General features: G+C 45.5%; 3 protein-coding genes and 1 pseudogene across 20 annotated transcripts in view, besides 3 other annotated features; 3 read left to right on the top strand and 1 right to left on the bottom strand.

Moving 5' to 3' along the window:
• The window catches only part of TDRKH (tudor and KH domain containing), a 24,049-nt gene extending 9,551 nt beyond the window's left edge, over positions 1-14,498 (top strand). For 3 of the 13 annotated variants that reach the window (XM_047441989.1, XM_047442008.1, XM_017000123.3), the window contains exons 4-14: positions 844-1,033; positions 1,742-1,881; positions 1,978-2,299; positions 4,385-4,545; positions 4,716-4,888; positions 5,100-5,164; positions 5,441-5,592; positions 5,818-5,919; positions 6,178-6,274; positions 6,480-6,571; positions 10,422-14,498. In XM_047441989.1, the coding sequence (XP_047297945.1) occupies positions 844-1,033; positions 1,742-1,881; positions 1,978-2,299; positions 4,385-4,545; positions 4,716-4,888; positions 5,100-5,164; positions 5,441-5,592; positions 5,818-5,919; positions 6,178-6,274; positions 6,480-6,532 (1,455 nt within the window). In that variant the 3' untranslated portion in view covers positions 6,533-6,571; positions 10,422-14,498. Of the gene's footprint in view, positions 1-843; positions 1,034-1,741; positions 1,882-1,977; positions 2,300-4,384; positions 4,546-4,715; positions 4,889-5,099; positions 5,165-5,440; positions 5,593-5,817; positions 5,920-6,177; positions 6,275-6,479; positions 7,506-8,997; positions 9,417-10,421 lie in introns of those variants that run through there. The other 10 variants (XM_017000126.2, XM_017000127.2, NM_006862.4 and 7 more) reach the window with 6 other exon arrangements.
• Positions 2,354-3,083, top strand: LOC100270670 (chloride nucleotide-sensitive channel 1A pseudogene; annotated as a pseudogene).
• OAZ3 (ornithine decarboxylase antizyme 3) lies at positions 9,654-18,015 on the bottom strand. 3 transcript variants are annotated; one of them, NM_001134939.1, is given in 5 exon segments: positions 9,654-9,907; positions 10,727-10,812; positions 12,751-12,926; positions 13,685-13,821; positions 17,817-18,015. In NM_001134939.1, coding segments are annotated over 5 exon segments (573 nt in total). In that variant the 5' UTR covers positions 17,849-18,015; the 3' UTR covers positions 9,654-9,764.
• Positions 10,523-11,217: an enhancer, noted in NCBI's record as "H3K27ac hESC enhancer chr1:151742243-151742937 (GRCh37/hg19 assembly coordinates)". NCBI's record gives its function as "activates a minimal SCP1, AML or CMV promoter by ChIP-STARR-seq in primed H9 embryonic stem cells {active_cell/tissue: H9 hESC(primed)}" and the evidence as "EXISTENCE:reporter gene assay evidence [ECO:0000049][PMID:30033119]".
• Positions 11,218-11,914: an enhancer, noted in NCBI's record as "NANOG-H3K27ac hESC enhancer chr1:151741546-151742242 (GRCh37/hg19 assembly coordinates)". NCBI's record gives its function as "activates a minimal SCP1, AML or CMV promoter by ChIP-STARR-seq in primed H9 embryonic stem cells {active_cell/tissue: H9 hESC(primed)}" and the evidence as "EXISTENCE:reporter gene assay evidence [ECO:0000049][PMID:30033119]".
• Positions 17,338-17,717: an enhancer, noted in NCBI's record as "active region_1724". NCBI's record gives its function as "activates an Ori minimal core promoter by ATAC-STARR-seq in GM12878 lymphoblastoid cells {active_cell/tissue: GM12878}" and the evidence as "EXISTENCE:reporter gene assay evidence [ECO:0000049][PMID:35858748]".
• On the top strand, positions 17,488-21,337 carry MRPL9 (mitochondrial ribosomal protein L9). Of its 4 annotated transcripts, none has more exons than NR_125331.2 (7): positions 17,488-17,657; positions 17,838-18,034; positions 18,484-18,608; positions 18,829-18,879; positions 19,432-19,533; positions 20,085-20,168; positions 20,803-21,337. NR_125331.2 is itself a non-coding variant. In NM_031420.4 (7 exons), the coding sequence occupies exons 1-7, from the start codon at positions 17,505-17,507 to the stop codon at positions 20,932-20,934; spliced, it is 804 nt and encodes a 267-aa protein (NP_113608.1). In that variant the 5' UTR covers positions 17,488-17,504; the 3' UTR covers positions 20,935-21,337. The 4 variants fall into 4 exon arrangements, 2 of the variants coding, with proteins under 2 accessions (NP_113608.1, NP_001287662.1); NM_031420.4 differs by having other exon boundaries at positions 17,838-17,994; NM_001300733.2 differs by lacking the exon at positions 19,432-19,533 and having other exon boundaries at positions 17,838-17,994.

The raw sequence follows: 21,337 nt of genomic DNA, 5'->3' as shown, positions 1-21,337 counted from the left end.
ACTTTTTAGCTACTTCCCTTCTAGAGAAGAGTACTTCTCCCTAGAGAAAGGATGACTTAGCTTGAAATACGGGTTTTTGACTGGGTGATTGTCAGCATGGTATAACTTGAATTATCCTTTTTTTTTTTTTTTTTGAGACAGAGTCTGGCTCTGTCACCCAGGCTGGAATGCAGTGGCATGATCTTGGCTCACTGCAAGCTCCGCCTCCCATGTTCACATCATTCTCCTGCCTCAGCCTCCCAAGTAGCTGGGACTACAGGTGCCCGCCACCACTCCCAGCTAATTTTTTGTATTTTTTGTAGAGACAGGGTTTCACCATGTTAGCCAGGATGGTCTCGATCTCCTGACCTCGTGATCCAGCCGCCTTGGCTTCCCAAAGTGCTGGGATTAGAGGCGTGAGCCACCGCGCCTGGTCAAATTATCCTTTTCTACTATGGAATTAATGAACTCTCATTAATTGACAGTAAATATTGAATGGCTACCTGGTTCTTCTTACCATCTTCCATTGTTCAGCTGGAATGTCAAGAAAACAAAATATTTGATTCTCTAATCCAAATAAAATTAGTAAGGGGAAAGGATTCTAAACACAAAGATAAATGGGTTTGAATTTACTGCTATTTGGGGTTACATTTGTTACTAATCTCCTTCCATAAAGTGAGGACTGGTTGTATAGATAGTAACTGAGGTTGTATATAAAGTAATTGAGGACTGGTTGTATAGATAGTATTAGCTAATTCCTTTGGCTAATTCTATCTACCTCCAGGGTTTGTTTTAGAGTGTCTGTAGCTGGGCTCAAATGGGAGCTCTTCCAGAATGTACTGCCAAATGTCCTTTTCTTTGCAGCTGCGGAAACAGACAGGTGCTCGGATTGATGTGGACACAGAGGATGTAGGCGATGAGCGAGTGCTGCTTATCAGTGGTTTTCCTGTTCAGGTGTGCAAGGCCAAAGCAGCAATCCATCAGATCCTGACAGAGAATACCCCAGTGTCTGAGCAGCTTTCAGTTCCCCAGAGATCTGTGGGCAGAATCATAGGTACCACTGGATGGCTTCCTCTATTGTTTCCTTTATTCTTTACCTTTGCCCCTCTTTCACACCTTCCCAGGGTTTTTTCTGGCCTAGTTCCCCTTCACCATGTGAGGGGAAAAAAAGGGACATTGAGACCAGAGGTTTACTGTTTGTAGAACTGGTGGTAAAACCAAACCTGTTTCCTCAAGAAGTTGTATGATCTGAACCTTACAAATTGATTCTTTAAGGGTTCTAGTAGATGTATTATATTTACCTTATAATTGATTTTTAAAGGGAAGCTTGGGATGCTCATGTTATCTCAAGTCTTTCAAGACAGTGCTCTAGAGGGTACCTTTTATGCTTTCCCCTAGAGCATTGCTTAGTGCTGCTGTTAGAGGCAGAGAAATGTCCTGTCCTTGATCCGGTGTTCTGACACACTATGTAGCATATCTTCTTGTGACCTGATATGGCCATGCTGAGTGGTCAAAATGAAAATGACATGAAGTTAGCCAAAGTGTAGAGTTTAAATAAAATGGAAAAAGGAAAGAATATGGTATTCTCCTTTTCACAGTAATGATTTCAGTAGCTCCTGATTTCCATTCAACATCTTGTATTTTGTTCACTTTAGAAATGAGAACTGATTCTCTTCTCCTAGTATATACAAAACAGTGATTTCTCCAGTAGCTAAGGTTGGCCAGGAGGGAAGGGCAGGTTTTTATATATTGTTTAATGTAGGGAGAGGCGGCGAGACAATTCGTTCTATCTGTAAGGCATCTGGAGCCAAAATTACCTGTGACAAAGAATCAGAAGGGACATTACTACTATCAAGACTTATAAAAATCTCAGGAACACAGAAGGAAGTGGCAGCAGCCAAGGCAAGTAGCTAATAGACTTGAATTATACCTGAGCATGAGAAGATCCTTTTACTCTATCCCAGGTCAGAATATCATCCTTTCTCTTGTTTTCCACAGCATTTGATACTGGAGAAAGTTTCAGAAGATGAAGAACTTCGGAAGAGAATTGCTCATTCTGCAGAAACCAGGGTCCCACGCAAACAGCCAATCAGTGTGAGAAGAGAAGACATGACAGAGCCAGGTGGAGCTGGAGAGCCAGCATTATGGAAAAACACCAGTTCTAGCATGGAGCCGACTGCACCCCTGGTGACTCCTCCACCCAAAGGAGGAGGCGACATGGCTGTGGTAGTGTCAAAGGAAGGTTCCTGGGAGAAACCTAGTGATGACAGCTTTCAGAAGTCTGAAGCCCAGGCCATCCCAGAGATGCCCATGTTTGAAAGTATGTAACAAAGAGGGAGCCCATTAATCATTGAAGATAGAAATACTGGCTTAGATATTGGAGAGATTAGAAGGAATGCCTTCTCAGTCTGAGCAGCCAGTATAATATGGCTGGGGTCAGGACAGAAGATTCGGTAAGATATTTTGAAGATGGGATGGAGGTAGAATCCACACCAACAGTTGCTGGACAGTTTGAGGGTGCAGATGTTGATCACTGAAAATGATTTATGCAGGTATAAGATTCTGCTCCTAATTGTAGGAGAGAACTTGGTGCCTCTTCCACTCTGAAGCAAAGTTGATGAAAGTCTTCTTCCTTTTCCAAAACCCAACCTGAACTACTTCTTTCTTGAGACAGACTATATTGAGACAAGTTGTTACCAGCAAAAGATAGATACATGACCTTTATTAACAAAAATGAATTAACCAAGAGGATATTTGTAGTTTATTATTTACCCCAAACTTTCTGTGTCTGGGTACCCTCTGAGTAGGCCTATAATTCCTGCCTTCACTGTATGCATTTTATGTAAGCTAGCAGACCTATGTGGTGAGAATGCACAGGAGCTTGGAGGTATAAATAGACAGGGTGGGAAAGAGAGAGCTCCTTTCGCCATGTTTTACCAGCCCGCTCTGTTATAACCTCTTAGGTTATATTCTTTAATTTCCAACCTTTTAGGTTAGTTTCTGTAACAGAACAAATGAGTCTGGGATAAAGTCCTCAAAGTACTTCAAATGGTAATTGTTTTGTTTTTGTAACGGCTTAACAAATAACCTAGGTTTTCTGTTTAAAAAAAAAAGAAATACTGGCTTAGGGCATGGTGGCGCAACCTGTGGTTCCAACTACTTGGGAGGCTGAAATGGGAGAATCACATGAGCCCAGGAAGTCGAGGCTACAGTGAGCTGGGATTGCACCGTTGCACTCCAGCCTGGGTGACAGTGAGATCCTGTCTCAAAAAAAAAAAAAAAAAATTAACTATTTTTTTAAAAAGAAATACTGGCTTAGATTACCCAAAATAGGAAGCAATAAAAAGTCTTTTTTCATGAATACACTTATGTCTATCATCACAGATATTCCTTACTGGTAATAATATTTTACTTGAATTAATACTAAACATAAATATTTTTCTAAATATAAAACAGCTGATGGAAATGGCAAAATAATGCTGACACAGGAAACAAATGAGTAATACATCAAATAATTGGATTTACATGATATTGTTCCTCTAGACATACTTTTTTTTTTGAGACAGAGTCTTCCTCTGTCTCCCAGGCTGGAGTGCAATGGTGCATTCTCGGCTCACTGCAACCTCCGCCTCCCAGGTTCGAGTGATTCTCATGCCTCAGCCTCCCGAGTAGATGAGACCACAGGTGCACACCACCACATCCGACTGATTTTTGTATTTTTTAGTAGAGATGGGGTTTCACCATGTTGGACAGGCTGGACTCGAACTCCTGGCCTCAAATGATCCACCCACCTTGGCCTCCCAAAGTGCTGGGATTACAGGCATGAGCCACCATGCCCAGCCTAGACATACTTTATCAACAAGTAAAATTCTCAGCCAGATTTTATATTGCCTTTTTCATTACTGTTTTTAAAAATCATCACTATTGAAAAGGCTGTGAGCTTTCTCTTCTGTACATAGGTTTTGGCGTGGGCAAAGAGGACCTGGATTCCCAAGAAGCTCACAGACTTGTCCAGGGTCATGTAAAGAGTCAGTGGTAGAATGGGATCTGGAACAGGTCCATGTCCGTCACTGTCCATGTAAAGATTGCTGTCCATATACCTTTTTACTGATCCATGCTGTAGCTAGCATATGGAGGTTTACCTTCTGTATAATTGGTGACCGATTTGACTATGTAGCACATGACAAAGAATGTAAGCTGTTATTACTCAGTTACATGGAAAGGTACAAAGGATAGCTTAGTATCTTTCTTTAGGATATTCTTGTTTGATTCATCCAGTTGCCTCTCCTGCCATTTTAAAATGGTAACAGCCATTGGTATTTGTACCTCTCACTACCCTGGTTAGTCTCTTCATTCCAACCAGAGATGGGTCTGATGTGGCCACCATCCTTATCTCTGTGTTCAGTCCCCAGTCCTGACTTCAGTTTTCATGCTGATGAGTACCTAGAAGTCTACGTTTCTGCTTCTGAGCACCCTAACCACTTCTGGATCCAGATCGTTGGCTCCCGCAGCCTGCAATTGGATAAGCTTGTCAATGAGATGACCCAGCACTATGAGAATAGTGTGGTGAGTTGCCATAGGGACAGGGCTGGGGTTTAATGAAAAGAAGGCATATCTTTTTCATTGTACTCTTCCTTTCCCTGTGGAGCAACTACTTTTCTTTCTTCCTCCTGCAATTCTGTTTATGAGCCTACCACTTTGTAACTCTCTGCCTTTCTCCTCCTCCCCACATACAGCCTGAAGACTTGACTGTGCATGTAGGAGACATTGTAGCAGCACCTTTACCTACAAATGGTTCCTGGTATCGAGCCCGGGTCCTCGGCACCTTGGAGAATGGGAACTTGGACCTCTATTTTGTTGACTTTGGAGATAATGGAGATTGCCCACTGAAGGACCTCAGGGCTCTCAGGTCAGTGCTGAGGTCAGCTCAATCCCAACTGCTGACTCAGTTCTGGCCATAGGGTGGTGAGCTGTTGGCAGTTGTCAGGGGGATTTGGAAGGGAACCTGTTTACAGAGAGCAGATGGTTATCGTCTCATGTTAGTTGGTTCTTTCTGAAAGCAGCAATGTAAGAAGATGTTTTTGGCCCCAGGATTCTAATTTTAGTTTCTTTTACTTCAGGAGTGACTTCCTAAGCCTTCCATTTCAAGCAATAGAATGTAGTCTGGCACGGATTGCTCCCTCAGGTAAATTGGTCATGCCATCTATTGAGCTTACCTCCAAATAGAATAACTTCATACAGTTCATTGGAAGGAATTCTCACATTCCCAGGCTTTTTGAATTCTGGGGACTCAGGTGCCTTTTCCTCACCAGCACTAGCAGCAGCCAGAAACTTGCCTGGCAGACCCAACCCAACCAGAGAAGACACAGGTGCCTTCCTGAGTAGAAAAGGGTAGTTCCAACTTCCCTCCAGGGTATAAGCCCCACCCCTATCAGCAGTAACCCCTACAATCTTTTGCCAGGTGACCAGTGGGAAGAGGAAGCTTTGGATGAGTTTGATAGACTCACTCATTGTGCTGACTGGAAGCCTCTGGTAGCCAAGATCTCTAGCTATGTCCAGACTGGGATCTCAACTTGGCCAAAGATCTACTTATATGATACTAGCAATGGGAAGGTAAGACTGGCATTCACTCACTGCTTGCCATATCTTCAGTATATTTATAGCCTAATTTACTTTTTCTTCCTCAGAAACCCTTATCTGATATTACTCTTACTGTAAGATCCTTCTCACCATCTCACCAAAGGAATGTCTTTAAAGTATCAGTCCTTCTGCCTTGTTTCCTCAAATTTGCCCTTGCTTACTGAGAGAACATCATTCCCTTTTCATTTTTCTTCTCAGAAACTTGATATTGGGCTAGAATTAGTACACAAAGGATACGCAATTGAGCTTCCTGAAGACATAGAAGAAAACAGAGCTGTCCCAGACATGTTGAAGGACATGGTGAGCTATTGTAGTTATATAGGGTGCTGCTTCCAGGCAAATCTAGCACATAGACACTAAGGGCTTCTAGTCCTGATACTGTGTTAGCTTTCCTAAGGACTTTGAGCTCCTCCAGTAGTTGACCAAAGGAGCATTTTGTCCCTCTTGGTAGCCAAATGCAACTGCCTTAACCAGGTCCTATGAGAAGAATGAAAGGGTGGCCTCTTTTTTCCTAAAAGCCAACATGTTCCTCCTTTTTTCCTGTTTTCATCCACTCAGGCCACAGAAACAGATGCCTCTCTCAGCACGTTGCTCACTGAGACCAAAAAGAGCTCTGGAGAGATAACACATACCCTGTCCTGCCTCAGCTTATCAGGTACAAGCAGTATTTCCTCCCTAGAGCATCTTTGGAGATTAACTTTTCTCATTCAGTCTTTCCAGAGTAGGGAGGTTAATTGAAGGCTTGGTTCCTAGTCAGGTCATTGAGTACCAAGAGGTCCATTTTTCTTTTGAGCCTCGCTGGCATTGCCTGCTAGAATAGGGCAGTGTCTAACTTTCTCCTTCTTATTTATCTTCAATAGAAGCTGCTTCCATGTCTGGTGATGATAACCTTGAAGATGACTACTTACTCTGAAGTCTGGGCTTCAGTTTGCTCAGCCATCTGCTTTGCTGTGTGAGTGCAGCTATCATCTATCTGTAGCAACAGGAAAGTAATGAGGGCGACAGTGGGGCACTTGCTTTGATTCCCTCTTTCCCATGCCCTGTCTTAATATACTTCTCTGCAGCTGCTTTCCTGCAGCTTAACTTGCTCTCAGATTGAGCACTTTCAAGCTTTTTGTGTATTTCTGTCTTTGGCAGGATTTGGCATAGGAATTGGTGCATGGAGGAGAGGAGTGTATGATAAAGGATCCATGCAGTCCTTCCTTTATTACACATATAGTCTGGCTTGCTGTGGACCAAATTAATATTCTCCTCCCATCAGACTACAAAAAAATTGGACTACCACGCTACAAGTGTGTCTCCCCCATTCCACCTCCGGATCCCTCCCCAACCCTCCAGTGTTTGAATACTGCTGTGTTACTTCCAGGCCGTTCAACGTCAGGCTCAGTCCCCTCTACCAGTCATGATTCACATTACTACTAGGCTGTATCCTTTTTGAGGCTGGGAAACAGTCAGGCTTTCGTCATTGGAAGTGATTCTGCAGACTTCTGACTCACCTTATCAGGTGACTCTGGTTAAGGAAAGCTTTTGAGTGGTGAACTCAAAGACTCCAGTTGAATCAGGAGGCAAAGGCAAAAATTAGCATAATTATATTTAAAAGCCTCAGGAAGTGGGAAGAGAATACTGCCTCCCAGCCTCAATTGCTGATATGTTATTGGAGACAGGCTTTTGAAACTGCTCCAGCTATTTCTCTGTAACCTTTAGTTAAAATATAAGTAGAAAGGAGACAGGAGGCTCAGGAAATTTTCTAAATTGCTAGTATAATATCTATATGTATACACACATATACACCCGTGGAGAGAGAGGAAGAGTATACAGTCCTGTTTGAATCATTTGGAGGATTTTTTTGCTGAATAAAGTTCTCAAGAAAATTTTCTAAAACCAAATTCTGATTGAATCACAAGGTGGAAGCAGGCTGTGAGCCTAAATCTGGTGAAAACTGCCAACTGCCTCACAGAAAGGATCACATCTATGAAACAAGTGTCCCTCCCATATACACATTCATATTCTTTCTCTAAAGTCACTTCAGAAATAACCATTCACTGGCTGGGCACGGTAGCTCACACCTGTAATCCCAGCGCTTTGGGAGGCTAAGGCAGGCAGATTACTTGAGGCCAACATGGTGAAACCCTGTCTCTACTAAAAATACAAAAAATTAGCCAGGCATGGTGGCATGCACCTGTTGTCCCAGCTGCGTGGGAGGCTGAGGCAGGAGAATTGCTTGAACCTGGGAGGTGGAGGTTGCAGTGAGCTGAGATCATGCCACTGCACTCCAGCCTGGGTGACAGAGAGAGACTCTGTCTCAAAAAAATACAAAAATACAAAATACAAAAATTAGCTGGGCGTGGTGGCAGGCACCTGTAATCCCAGCTATTTGGGAGGCTGAGGCACAAGAATCACTTGAACCTGGGAAGCGGAGGTTGCAGTGAACCCAGATTGCACCACCACACAACCTTGTCTCATAAAAAAAAATTCACTAGGAACCAGAACCAATTTAGGTTTAGGCTGTGTGAGTAAGACCCCACCTATACTATTCAAAAGAAAAGGCCCAGATTAAGATTCTAGAAACCTGGATTCTAGGAGCAGCTCTGGTAAGTAGCTCATGTAGTCTTGGAGGAATCTTTAAGGAGTAGATCTCCACTGTAAACTTTTTGCAAAATTTTAACGTGTTTCCTTATAGCATCTTTCTGACAGTACTGTGAGGCTCAAATGCGAGGCTTGAAGTACTTGAGGTGCTTGAAAGTAAATATAAATGTATAGTAATGTGGATGGTAGAAAAATGGCAAGTGAATTTTTTTTAAGGATAAAGCAAGATAAACTAGAAAATTTAAAACTAGCACATAAGGATGCCTTACACAGGTCTTTTTTTTAAATTTAGGGATTAGTAACGTCTACCTCTATACTACATGGCAACTATATTTTCTCACAACCACAATTCTCAAAATTTATTTTCTCAGAAAAATCTCAGTATTAGCCAGGCACCGGTGGCTCACACCTATAATCCCAACACTTTGGGAGGCCGAGGCGGGCAGATTGCTTGAGCTCAGGAGTTCGAGACCAGCCTGGCACCATGCTGAAACCCGTAAATACAAAAAAATTAGCCAGGCATGGTGGTGTGTGCCTGTGGTCCTAGCTACTTGAGAGGCTGAGGTGGGAGGATCGCTTGAGCCCAGGGAAGCAGAGGGTGCAGTGAGTGAGCCAAGATTGCACCACTCCACTCCAGCCTGTGTGACACAGCAAGATGCTGTCTCCAAAAAAAGAAAAGAAAAATCTCAGTCCCAATTAGCAGAAAGGCTCTAGTGAAGGAACAGTTCTGGTGAGTAGTTCAGGTACTCTTGGAGGAATCTTTAAGGAGCTTCCATTTATTTGATGTTTCAGATGTTGCCTGCAATGAACTCGCTGAAGCATGCTCAGCCCTGGAACTGGTGCTACCAGAGTTCCGTAGGGAACCTTTACTCTTTAGAGGTTCCCTGATATAAATCATTCATAAGACTTCCTACCCTGGAAAATGAGTAATGTCTCATTCTTACCTGCAGTTTGTTACTATGTATAAAAGTCTTTTTCTTTAATATGCCTTTAAGTCTTACCTGTTTACAGCCCATTCTGATGGGTTCTTTGTCATTCTGTTAGTATAACCCAGTACTTTTCCTGCTGCCTGGAATGCCCTCTTCTATGTTACCTATTCTGTCCGTTGAGATCCCCCAACTTGGGCCAAAGCCAAGAGATCTATGTGCCTTCTCTGGTTTTCTCCACATCTATAGCACCTCAACTGAAATATATGGATAAAAACAGCCTAACAAAGCTCAGTCTTTCTGAACTAGGAAGTTCACTGATTAGTGCTCAGTAAATGGTTAGAATAAATGGGGAAATAGTTTGGGGCATGGAGGAAGGCAAAGGGAACCAAAAATCCTTAGGTACTTTCCTCCGTAGTTCAGGTCCCTGTGATCTTTTCAGTGAATTTAGCTCTGTTAAGGTGTATATCCCACTCCAGTCAACCCTATTACCCACCCCCCCAAGAAACCGTGAACACTTGATGATTGCACTACCCTTTATTCCTAGGATGGAAAGTGTCCTGAATCACATCCCGGGCCCCTGATTCCATGTGTCAAGGCTTCCAGCCCCTCAAAGCGTTGGAATAAGCATGTTCAAGGAGGCTCACTGGGCAGGTGGCCAACATCCCTTTCAAGGGGATACACCATAAAGATGACATTGTCCAAGGGAGGGAGGGCAGGGTGATCTGGTCTGACCACCTCAAAGCCCATGTAGCTGAAGGCCCGCAGCAGGGCACCTGTGAAAGGATAGAACAAATGATTAGAACATGCTTTAAAACTCAATACATGTATGCCCCCAGATTTGATTTCTTCCACTAGGGAGTGGCCCTGGGAAGCAGTGTAGTGCAGGCATATAGGATGTGCTTTAGTCCAACAGACCTAGGCTCTAACTCTGGTTTTAACACTTGTTCTGTGAGTTAGTCCTGCAGAACTTCAGTTTCCATCTATAGAATTTTCCATTTATAAATCATAGAACCTTCCTCCTCACAGAATTTAAGATGAAATGAGATGTTCATGAAGTGCTTAACACTAGAGATTAGTGAGGTCTACCTATATACTAATACAATGATGACATAGTAAGCTCTGAAATAGTATCTATCACTTATGAATGGTTATTCACCATCCCTTATATCCAACAGAGTTTGAGCTCCTTGAGGCAAGAGGCTATAGTTTCTGTAACATATGCTCCAGGCATCCGGTTAAATATGTCCCCGTTCCCTTGGCCTTATGTCTGACCCTTTCACATTGTAGGTGCTCCATATGTTTGAGATCCATTTTGTCCTGCTGGCCACATCCCTTGAATGGATTCTGTGTAATTTCACCAGTGCTCCTTCAGTCTGGCCCCTAACACCACCTGCAGGGGCTTCCTCAGAGTCCAGTTGTAACTTGATGGAACAAGTTACAACTTCCCACCTTCGTGGTAGGTGGGAAGAAAAGAATCCCTGAAATGCCTGAGGGTGCATTTTTAAAGACAGGGGAAGAGGGTCTCCTATAAAGGAAAAGGAGTTATCCAGCTGCCTCAGCGCGAAAAGCAAGGAAGAACAGCAGATCCCCACCTCTGTCGTTCCGATCATTCTGGAAGTTCACAAACACAGAGTCCACATTTGTCTTCTCTTCCACGTACTCCAGGGTTGCAGTCAAACTAGGAGCCACAGAAAAACAGTTAAAATGTTTGGCCGCTCCCTCTCCCTCTCCCTCTCCGTCTCCGTCTCCCCATGGTCTCCCTCTCCCTCTCTCTCCACGGTCTCCCTCTGATGCCACCAAAGTTGTGAAAGCCGAAGCTGGACTGTACTGCTGCCATCTCGGCTCACTGCAACCTCCCTGCCTGATTCTCCTGCCTCAGCCTGCTGAGTGCCTGGGATTGCAGGCGCGTGCCGCCATGCCTGACTGGTTTTCGTATTTTGGTGGAGACGGGGTTTCGCTGTGTTGGCCGGGCTGGTCTCCAGCTCCTAACCACGAGTGATCTGCCAGCCTCGGCCTCCTGAGGTGCCGGGATTGCAGACGGAGCCTCGTTCACTCAGTGCTCAGTGTTGCCCAGGCTGGAGTGCAGTGGCGTGATCTCGGCTCGCTACAACCTCCACCTCCCAGCCGCCTGCCTTGGCCTCCCAAAGTGCCGAGATTGCAGCCTCTGCCCGGCCACCACCCCGTCTGGGAAGTGAGGAGCGTCTCTGCCTGGCCGCCCATCGTCTGGGATGTGAGGAGCGCCTCTGCCCGGCCGTCATCCCGTCTAGGAAGTGAGGAGCGTCTCCGCCCAGCCGCCCATCGTCTGGGATGTGGGGAGCGCCTCTACCCGGCCACGACCCTGTCTGGGAACTGAGGAGTGTCTCTGCCCAGCCGCGACCCCATCTGGGAGGTGAGGAGCATCTCTGCCCGTCCGCCCTGTCTGAGAAGTGAGGAGCCCCTCCGCCCGGCAGCCGCCTCGTCTGGGAAGTGAGGGGCGTCTCCGCCCGGCAGCTGCCCCGTCCGGGAGGTGGGGGGCAGCCCCCGCCCGGTCAGCCGCCCCGTCTGGGAGGGAGGTGGGGGGCAGTCCCCACCCGGCCACCGCCCCCTCCGGGAGGTGGGGGGTGCGTCTGCCCGGCCGCCCCTTTTGGGAAGTGAGCCCCTCTGCCCGGCCGCCACACCGTCTGGGAGGTGTACCCAAGAGCTCATTGAGAATGGGCCATGATGACGATGGCGGTTTTGTCGAATAGAAAAGGGGGAAATGTGGGGAAAAGATAGAGAAATCAGATTGTTGCTGTGTCTGTGTAGAAAGAAGTAGACATAGGAGACTCCATTTTGTTCTGTACTAAGAAAAATTCTTCTGCCTTGGGATGCTGTTAATCTATAACCTTACCCCCAACCCCATGCTCTCTGAAACGTGCTGTGTCCACTCAGGGTTAAATGGATTAAGGGCGGTGCAAGATGTGCTTTGTTAAACAGATGCTTGAAGGCAGCATGCTCGTTAAGAGTCATCACCACTCCCTAATCTCAAGTACCCAGGGACACAAACACTGCGGAAGGCCGCAGGGTCCTCTGCCTAGGAAAACCAGAGACCCTTGTTCACTTGTTTATCTGCTGACCTTCCCTCCACTATTGTCCTATGACCCTGCCAAATCCCCCTCTGTGAGAAACACCCAAGAATGATCAATAAATACTGGGAAAAAAAAATTTGGCCAACTCAGAATCCAGAAAGACACCTACTTGGAGCAGTAAAAATATTATTGGTCGTTTTCTGCCCTCCACCCACCCAAGCCAGGAAATGAAAGTTGCTAAACTAGTTTTGGTAGATTTTTCTTGGAAGCCAAGAGATTGCACATCACTGGATGTAAGCCACAGAAGGGGTCTGGGGAGAAAGGACTACTGAGATGAACAGCTAGAAAGTACTTCCCGTTATTCAACTATTTCTGGATCTGAGTCCAGCTTCCCATGGACTCTTATCCCTTGAACCCCAGATCCTGGCTCAGCTCACAGGCTTGTCTGCATGCCAGGTGAATGGATTGCTTATATCTAGCTCCAGAATTAGCCTTATGTACTATGACATGATAGAAGGGTGAAATCCCCTACCTATTCCCTCCCCATTCTCCCATCCAGGCTCAGTCACCTTTCCCGGTTGCCTTGATCCAAGGCCTGATATGGGATATCCAGGAAGAGTCGACGGTCACAGAGAAGGCCGTGCCAATGGGCAGAGGTCTGGGAGGTAAGGCGGAAGTGAAAGTCTAACTGTACTGGGTCCTGGTGGAGCAGGGGGTCAGTAGCCAGCACCGTCAAGTTCCCAGCCTGGAAAAGGAGTAAAAATGCTCCTCTAGTCTTCAAATCAGACCTCAGGCAGATGGGGGTGTGTCCGTTGAAGCAAGGTGGGCATTGATGGGGAGAGCCTGGGAGAATTGGAGCCAAGATCTTAAAGATGCAATAATATCCCTTAGTCCCAGGAACTAATAGCCTATGCCTATTGTGGAGTTCTCCTTTATATCAAACAATCCAGCTGAGGCAGTATTACTGCCTGTTGACTTCAACCCAGGAGTACAATAACCATTTAGGAACTTAGAAATGTTTACATCAGAGAGCTTAGGATTTAAACAAAGCTTTATAATGTGCTTCCTTTCTCACTAATAATTTCCACTTTTTTCATTATATGGGTTTTCTCTAAATTCTTCTATTTAAAATGCCATGGTTACAACCAGGCTTGTTATTGCAATATGATATGTGGGCAAGTTCTGGATTCCAGATCCTGCTTAGCATCTTTAAGCAGGATCTTGGCATAAACAGCTTTATGTCCCAGAAGTCCTACAGAGTTTGTTTTACCTTTGTCCCCACTCCCTCTTTTCCCAATCCTGATTTTCACTACCATCTGTATGACCTTGATTTTACAGTCTGTGGGCCAGAATGCTTGTCTATATAGCAAGTAGCTTTTACACATGCGTTCCAAGATTCCATCTACCTCTGTAATTCATCTTCCAACTTGCTAATGTCCCTCCTCTGCAAGGTATGCAAGAAAAGGGTTGCCCTGTCACAGCACTAGCTCACAGTCCACTTACCGAATACAGTTCTTTAAGCTGGTCGTGGTTACCCTGCTCGGTGCTTTTGCCCTCCTGGAGGCCTACTAGGGACTCAGGAGCACTGGAGGCAGGAACGGGGCTGGAGTGTCAAGTCCTCCTCTTCCTTATAAGTGATGCTGGTTGGGAAAGAGACCCAAATTAGTTTATCTTGGAATCTGAGGTGGGAAGATACACAGTACCAGGCTCTGGCATGATCTTCTGTATTTTCTGTTGTCCAGCCTGTTTCTATGTTCCTGGGCCCAACCAGATGGAAAAATTCTAAAGTTCCATGCCAGCTTTCCACCCCCTATTCTGTTGTTATTTCTTGCCATTTGGGAAATTCTTTCAAATTCTTTTACTTTTTCCTTACATTTTATATAAACAACTACAAATAGAGATGAAAACAAGTACCTTTTATAACAACGAGGCAGCATCTTCTCCCGGAGAGTGATCCGGTACTTGTAACAGTAAAGGTAATAGGCGTATGGTGACCAGATCGGGTAGAGGTAGTTACGTGTTTTTCCCCTCTTGATATAAGAAAGGGAGTAGACAGAGGGGCGACACCTCTTACAAGGCAGTTTTTCAGTTCAGTGCCTCCCTGTGGCAAAGTGAAGTTCACAGGTGGGTGGCAGAGGTTTAGGCAACCTGGTGGCATTGTGACCCAGTGGGCACTATGACATGGATAAGGGGTCAGCCCTTATGTCACCTCAGGACTCCACTCTGCTGCTTATCTACCCTAATCCCTTATCCAAGGCTCATATTCGACTAGTATGCATGTTATGGCTGTATGAATGATTAAAAAATAGAACTTGAAGACTTCTGTACTGGTTGGCCAAAAGCCCTGCCTGAGCACTTGTGCCCACCCACCCTGCTCCTCTGTGGACACTCCCCTTCCCCCAAAATCCAGCAAGTAAAGAGTTGGTATCTGACTCTTCCAAGGCTCTGATCCAGTGGTGACCTGATTAGTTGGTTCCCAGTTCATACCAGTTGAGTATTTTTATTATCATCCCTACCCTTAATAACCCAGGATCCTTGTAGGGTAGGAATTGCAAACTAATTGTCTAGGCCCCTTCAGGGGCCTAGACAGCTTATGGAAATTAGTGGAGTGGCAGGGTAGGGCTGTAGCAAAATAGGAAAGCTCACACGTTATCTAAAGGAAGTCCACACAACTCAATTCCATCCAGTTCCATGCAAGAATGCAGACTTGATGGTGCTGTATCGTATGATTTTTGAACAGAAACTGGAAAGACAGTTTTGTAGTAAATCTCACCAATTTTAAAAAATATCGACTACTGGGCCGGGCACGGTGGCTCACGTCTGTAATCCCAGCGCTTTGGGAGGCCGAGGCGGGCGGATCACGAGGTCAGGAGATCGAGACCATCCTGGCTAACACGATGAAACTCTGTCTGTACTAAAAATACAAAAAATTAGCCGGGCGTGGTGGCAGGCGCCTGTATTCCCAGCTACACGGGAGGCTGAGGCAGGAGAATGGCGTGAACCCAGGAGGCGGAGCTTGCAGTGAGCTGAGATCGTGCCACTGCACTCCAGCCTGGGCAACATAGCGAGACTCCAACTCAAAAAAAAAAAAAAATCAACTACTAAAAAATTGTTGATAAAAAAACAACATTGTAAGCAAAATTTGGTTCTGGGACTGCCACTTTGAGACCTCTGCATATTTATCCATTCAACAAATATTTATTGAGGGTCTACTATTAGCCAGGCACTATTCTAGGTGCTTGAGATGATACATCAGTGAACAAAACAAATCCCTGCCCTATGGAACGTATCTTCTAAAAGTGAGAGGACAAACCTAGAAAATAAACATAGTAAATTGTTTAGTATGTTAGAAGGTAACTGCTATGGGGTGGGGGGAATAGAGCAAGATAAAGGAAGATAAGGAATGTGAAGGGGATGGGTCAGGGTTACAGTAAGAAATAGGGTGATCTCTCACTGAAAAAAACTGACATTTAATTAAACACTTGGAGGATGTGAGGTTGTTAACCAAGCCAGCATCTGAGGATAAGAGCATCCAACGCAAAAGCAGCCAGTGCAAAAGCCCTGAGCAGGAAACGTGCCTGGTGTTTTCAAGAAACAAGGAGGCCACTGTGGGTGGAGCAGTGTAAATTAGAGAGGAGCTAATGGGGTCAGAGTATGTATGGCCTTGTAGACCATCTGATGGCCTTTTTCTTTTACCTTGAGTAAAGGAGGAAGTCATTACAAAGTTTTGGGTGGAAGAATGACATGATCTGACTTATGCTTTAAAAAGATCATTCTGGCTGCTATAAATAAGCTACATAGAATTATAAACTGTAGAGAATTAAGGGATATCTTTTAGGGGACTATTGCAGTAATCCAGGAGAAAGTAGTGTCTTATTCCAAGGTAGAGCATTGGAGGTGGTGACAAGTGGCTGGATTCTGGAAATACAAGTGCTCCTTGACTTAAAATAGGGTTATGTCCTGATAAACCCATCGTATGTTGAAAGTATCATAAGTTGAAAATGCATATAATACACCTACCAAACACCATAGCTTAGCCTAGCCTATCTTAAACATGCTCAGACAACTTATCCGACAGTTGGGTAAAATCATCTAACACAAAGCCTATTTTATAATAAAGTGTTGAATATTTCATGTAACTTATTGATGTCCTACTGAGTGCACATCACTTTCACACCATCACAAACTCAAAAATTGTAAATCCAAGTCAGGGACTATCTGTAATTTAAAGGTAGAACCCACAGGATTTCCTGATGGAGTATGAGAGAAAAGAGTTAGAATGGAAAGAATGGAGTTTCTGTCAACTGAGAGGAAAAAGGCTGCAGATGGGGCAGTTTTGGGGGCGAGGGGGGAATAAATAAATTAGTTTGGGACAGTTAACTTTGAGGTGTCCTTTGGATACGTAAGAGGAAAATGACGAATAAACAGTTGAATATTTGAGACGAGTTTGGGAGATGTCTAGGATGGAACTAGAAATTTGGGAGTCATTGGCTTATAAATGGTATTGTAAGCCACGAGACTGGATGAGATCAACAGTGAGTGTATACTGAGAAGAGTAAAGGTTCAAAAACGGAGTCCCGAGGGCATTCTAAGAAGCGGGGAGAAAAGGAGAAATCAGCAAACGAGACTGAAGAAGACCGGTGTCCAGGAGGCCAAGTAGTGTATTTAGGAGGAAGGAGGACTGGTCAGTATGTTTAAGGGCCAGTCTTTCCATAATCTCTGCCAAATGGACCTTCTTTCATCCAGTTTTTATGGTCTTCTGTCCAGTACTGAGACCCTCCCCAGAGGGAACTGTCGCGGCCTTACCATAGTTGCTTTTTTTTCTACGGTTTACATAGCTTGTGATTTAGAATTCTCCTTTATTAGCTTAAATACTGCAGTATAATGATTAAGGGTCAGGCTCCTCCTGGAGCTGGCAGAGTTTTCCAAGGGATCCCATCCTTTACCACTTTTAGGTAGATTTGAAGTAAGGAAAAGTGAGAGCATCATTCATTCTCCGGTCAGTATCCAGTCATCACAGAACGTTAGAATTAAAAGTTAGCCCAGCAACTGGAGCTACAGCAAAGCCCACACTTTCAAGAGGAAGAGCGTCTTTTCCGGCGTCAGTCCACCTAACACTCATTCCATTATCAGTCAGTAATTCTAGGCGTCCGTCACCTCTGCCAAAAAGCAAAAATAGGCAAGCCGCGGTGCCATCTGTTCCCCGGCCCGCTCCCCATACTTTCGCTCAGCCGTACCGGCGCGCCGCAGGCAGCACTGGCGGGGGCCTTTCCTGCCGCCGACGCCGGGGTCCTCCCTCAGGTCTCATTCTGTGCCTGTGAACATGGCGGCGCCCGTTGTCACGGCCCCGGGCAGAGCTCTGCTGCGGGCGGGCGCTGGACGGCTGCTTCGGGGAGGCGTCCAGGAGCTACTGCGGCCGCGACATGAAGGGAACGCCCCTGACCTGGCCTGCAACTTCAGCCTTTCTCAAAATCGGGTGAGGGCTGAGTCTGGGGTAGGGGGTAGATACGCTCGAGTATTGTTTCTGGAGGCGCACTGGGACCTGGAGGGGGCCGATGTGGGGGTGGCGGGCTTTCCTTGAGGGGCTGGCGGCCGTGGTGGAGGGAGAGGGTGTTCCTTGTGGAGACTAGCTTACCGTCGCTTTCCTGGCCGCCAGGGCACGGTCATCGTGGAGCGCTGGTGGAAGGTACCGCTGGCCGGGGAGGGCCGGAAGCCGCGCCTGCACCGGCGACATCGCGTCTATAAGCTGGTGGAGGACACGAAGCATCGGCCCAAAGAAAACCTGGAGCTCATCCTGACGCAGTCGGTGGAGAGTAAGGCCCGGGCCGAGGCGCTTCCTCTCAGGCTGGTCCGGTTTGGCATCAGCTTTTTCTAGCCCGTCCCCCTCAACTATTTGCCTTGCTTTTTCTTTGTGGAAACAATCCAACTCTATATGTGAGAAGAGGAAGCCATAAAAACTATTGTGATTGTGACACTGGCCTCCAGCATTGAAAATTAAAACATAAAGGCAGCAACATCATTAACAGTGTGTGGGGAGAGGAGCCTGACAATTTGTGCCACAGATACTGAAATCCTCCATGGGACGACAACTCCCTCTATACAGGGGATATTAAATTTATACATCAAGTTCTAAAGAAACTAATTAGCAGTCTCTTAAATCTTGTTCCTAGTGAATATGAATTAGCATTTCTTTTAGGAAAAATAAGCACTGTGAGAAACTAAGAGGTGCTTCTCTTTTTGACATCTTTTCTTTAGGGACTCCTAGATGGTTCTAATTCCCCTGTCTCTGTTCTAATTGACAGATGTTGGAGTCCGGGGTGACCTGGTCTCAGTGAAGAAATCTTTAGGCCGGAATCGACTCCTTCCTCAGGGACTGGCTGTATATGCATCCCCTGAAAACAAGAAGCTGTTTGAAGAGGAGAAATTGGTGAGCTCAAAGGAAGGACAGAGAGACTTGGGGAGATAAAACTTCTTTTCTCTTGCAGCTTCCTTCCCTTTGACATTTAACTTAACTTGAAAATGAAATAGGAACTAGAAGAACAGGAATGCAGAAGCCCAGCCAATGTCCAACATAGGAATAGTTTGATGCTATTTAACATGGGCTCATTTTTCTTTTACTGCTTTTCATCTTTAACTTTCTTTTCTAGCTGAGACAAGAAGGAAAATTAGAGAAGATCCAGACCAAGGCAGGTGAGGCGGTGAGTAGAAACATAAAAAGTGTTTATTTGTCACAAGACTTACCAACCTCACCCTGAGAGTCTCCCTGATTCCCTTGAGGTCTCCTGATTGCAGACCCAAGAGTGGGAGAAAGGGGAAGTGTTGTGGCTGCCCCACAAAACAGGTATGGAGACCTCTTGGGAGATCCCTGATGTGTTGGGTGAAGTGCCTTAAAGTACCAAGGGAGGTCCCAATCTGGGAATCAGGGAACCCATGGAATAGTCTGAGATGAGGGCTCTGCCTTCAAGGATATTTACGTACAAGTTGGAGAGAACATGGACACATGAGAAGATAATCAGTACAGGCACCCGCCACCATGCCCGGCTAACTGTTGTATTTTTGGTAGAGACAGGGTTTCGCCATGTTGGCCAGGCTGGTTTCAAACTCCTGGGCTGAAGTGACCCACTTTGGGAGACCCACCTTGGCCTCCCAAAGTGCTGGGATTACAGGCATGAGCCATCTTGCTTGGCTTGCATACCCTGTGACCCTGACATGTTTCCTCTCCTTTGACTCAAACTCATAATTCCTTTCAGACAGTGAAATTTCTAAAAAGCTGTCGCCTGGAGGTAGGGATGAAGAACAATGTCAAATGGGAGCTGAACCCTGAAATAGTTGCCCGCCACTTCTTTAAGAATGTGAGTGAGTGTTCCCAAAAACCACTCTACCCCTGAGGTGGAAGCTGCCTCTGGAAAGGAGGCCTGGGATTGATCCCTTTGTTAGGAAGGGGTGTGATCATCCAGTTGTAGTTAAGGAAAGTATTCTTGGTTAGTTTGCAGGAATATGGGAAGGAAATGGCTAAGGACTAAGGATGGTCACATAGAATTTGAAGACTGATAGGAAAAGGTGGTGGTTTCCATTTATTTCCTGTCTACCTAGGGAAATGCTGGGGATTTGTGACTCACTGGAGAATTGTTACTTTTGTGGATGAAGTGGTTTTGGCCTCAAGCCCTGTTTCTCTTTGTGAATCTACCTCCCTTTCTGAGAAATCAGAATTGAATTTCTCTACTACCGTCTATGAAGGTGTATGCCCTTCTCTCCCATGGAATCAGCCAGAGTAGACACCCCAGTTTTATTCATCCCTGTGCAGGGAATCCTGTAACCCTCTTTATGAGGTTCCCTAGAGTGGCAGTCATGAAAACAGAGTTCATTTGAGCTGAGATTTTTTTTTTTTTTTTTTTTTTTGCAGCTTGGTGTTGTGGTTGCCCCACATACATTAAAGTTACCAGAAGAGCCTATCACACGGTGGGGCGAGTATTGGTGTGAGGTGACGGTGAGTGTTTTGCATACTTTCTTTTTTCTTTTCTTTCTCCTTTTCCCCCACTTTTTCCTTTTTTTCCTTTCTCTTAAAGACAGGGTTTTGTTTCATTGCCCAGGCTGGATTCAAACTCCTGGGTTCAAGCGATCCTCCCACCTCAGCCTCCCAAGTAGCTAGGACTACAGGCGTTAGCCACCGCACCTAGCACCTACCTCTCCCTTTTTTCTAATTTTTTTTTTTTTTTTTTTTTTTTTGAGCTGGAGTCTCACTCTGTTGCCCAGACTGGAGTGCAGTGGCACGATCTCAGCTCACTGCAACCTCCACCTCCCAGGTTCAAGCGATCCTTCTGCCTCAGTCCCCCTAGTAGCTGGGATTACAGGCACACGCCACCGTGCCTGGCTAATTTTTGTATTTTAGTAGAGACAGGGTTTCCCCATGTTGGCCAGGCTGGTCTCAAACTCCTGACCTCAGGTGATCCACCTGCCTCAGCCTCCCAAAGTGCTGGGATTACAGGCATAAGCCACTGTGCCCAGCCCTAGCTCTCCTTTTTCTGACTGGGAGAAAAGTCAGGGTGAAAAGCTGGGATTAGGTGGTGCTAAATCTTACTTACCTGACTGATCTCTGAGAATTCCCATTGTTTTGTGTGCAGGTAAATGGGCTTGATACTGTGAGAGTGCCTATGTCTGTCGTGAACTTTGAGAAGCCCAAGACCAAAAGATATAAGTACTGGTTAGCCCAGCAAGCTGCCAAGGCTATGGCCCCCACCAGCCCCCAGATCTAAATCTACTCTCCCTCCAAGGCAGCAAAGCAGAATCGGGAGCAGTGGAGCAGAAATGTGCAAGCACCCTGATCTCACTCCCAGCTCTGACCAAATACAGAATTTTAGAGAACATCTGAAGACATCAGACTGCACTGCGTATACATGTTGAATTCTTCATTTTTGCCATCTTTAACTGTCATCACTGGGGCAGGGAAGTCCTGTTCCAGAAGTACCAGGCTGTAGATTTGATAAGCTAGATGCAGTAGACCGAAACCATCCAAAACCTGTTTAGCTTCTTCCTCCATTGGAGTTTATTGGGACAAACAGGAGAGCCAGCCATTGTCTCCAGTACTTGCCTCATTCTCATCATCCAAACTGAACATTTGTATCCCAAGCAGAAATAAAGAGAATATGTTCTTTTTAA

Source organism: Homo sapiens, chromosome 1, assembly GCF_000001405.40.
Source record: "Homo sapiens chromosome 1, GRCh38.p14 Primary Assembly".
Lineage (NCBI taxonomy): Eukaryota > Metazoa > Chordata > Mammalia > Primates > Hominidae > Homo > Homo sapiens.
Note: the sequence above shows the minus strand (reverse complement) of the source record. Positions and strands in the feature narration are given on the sequence as shown.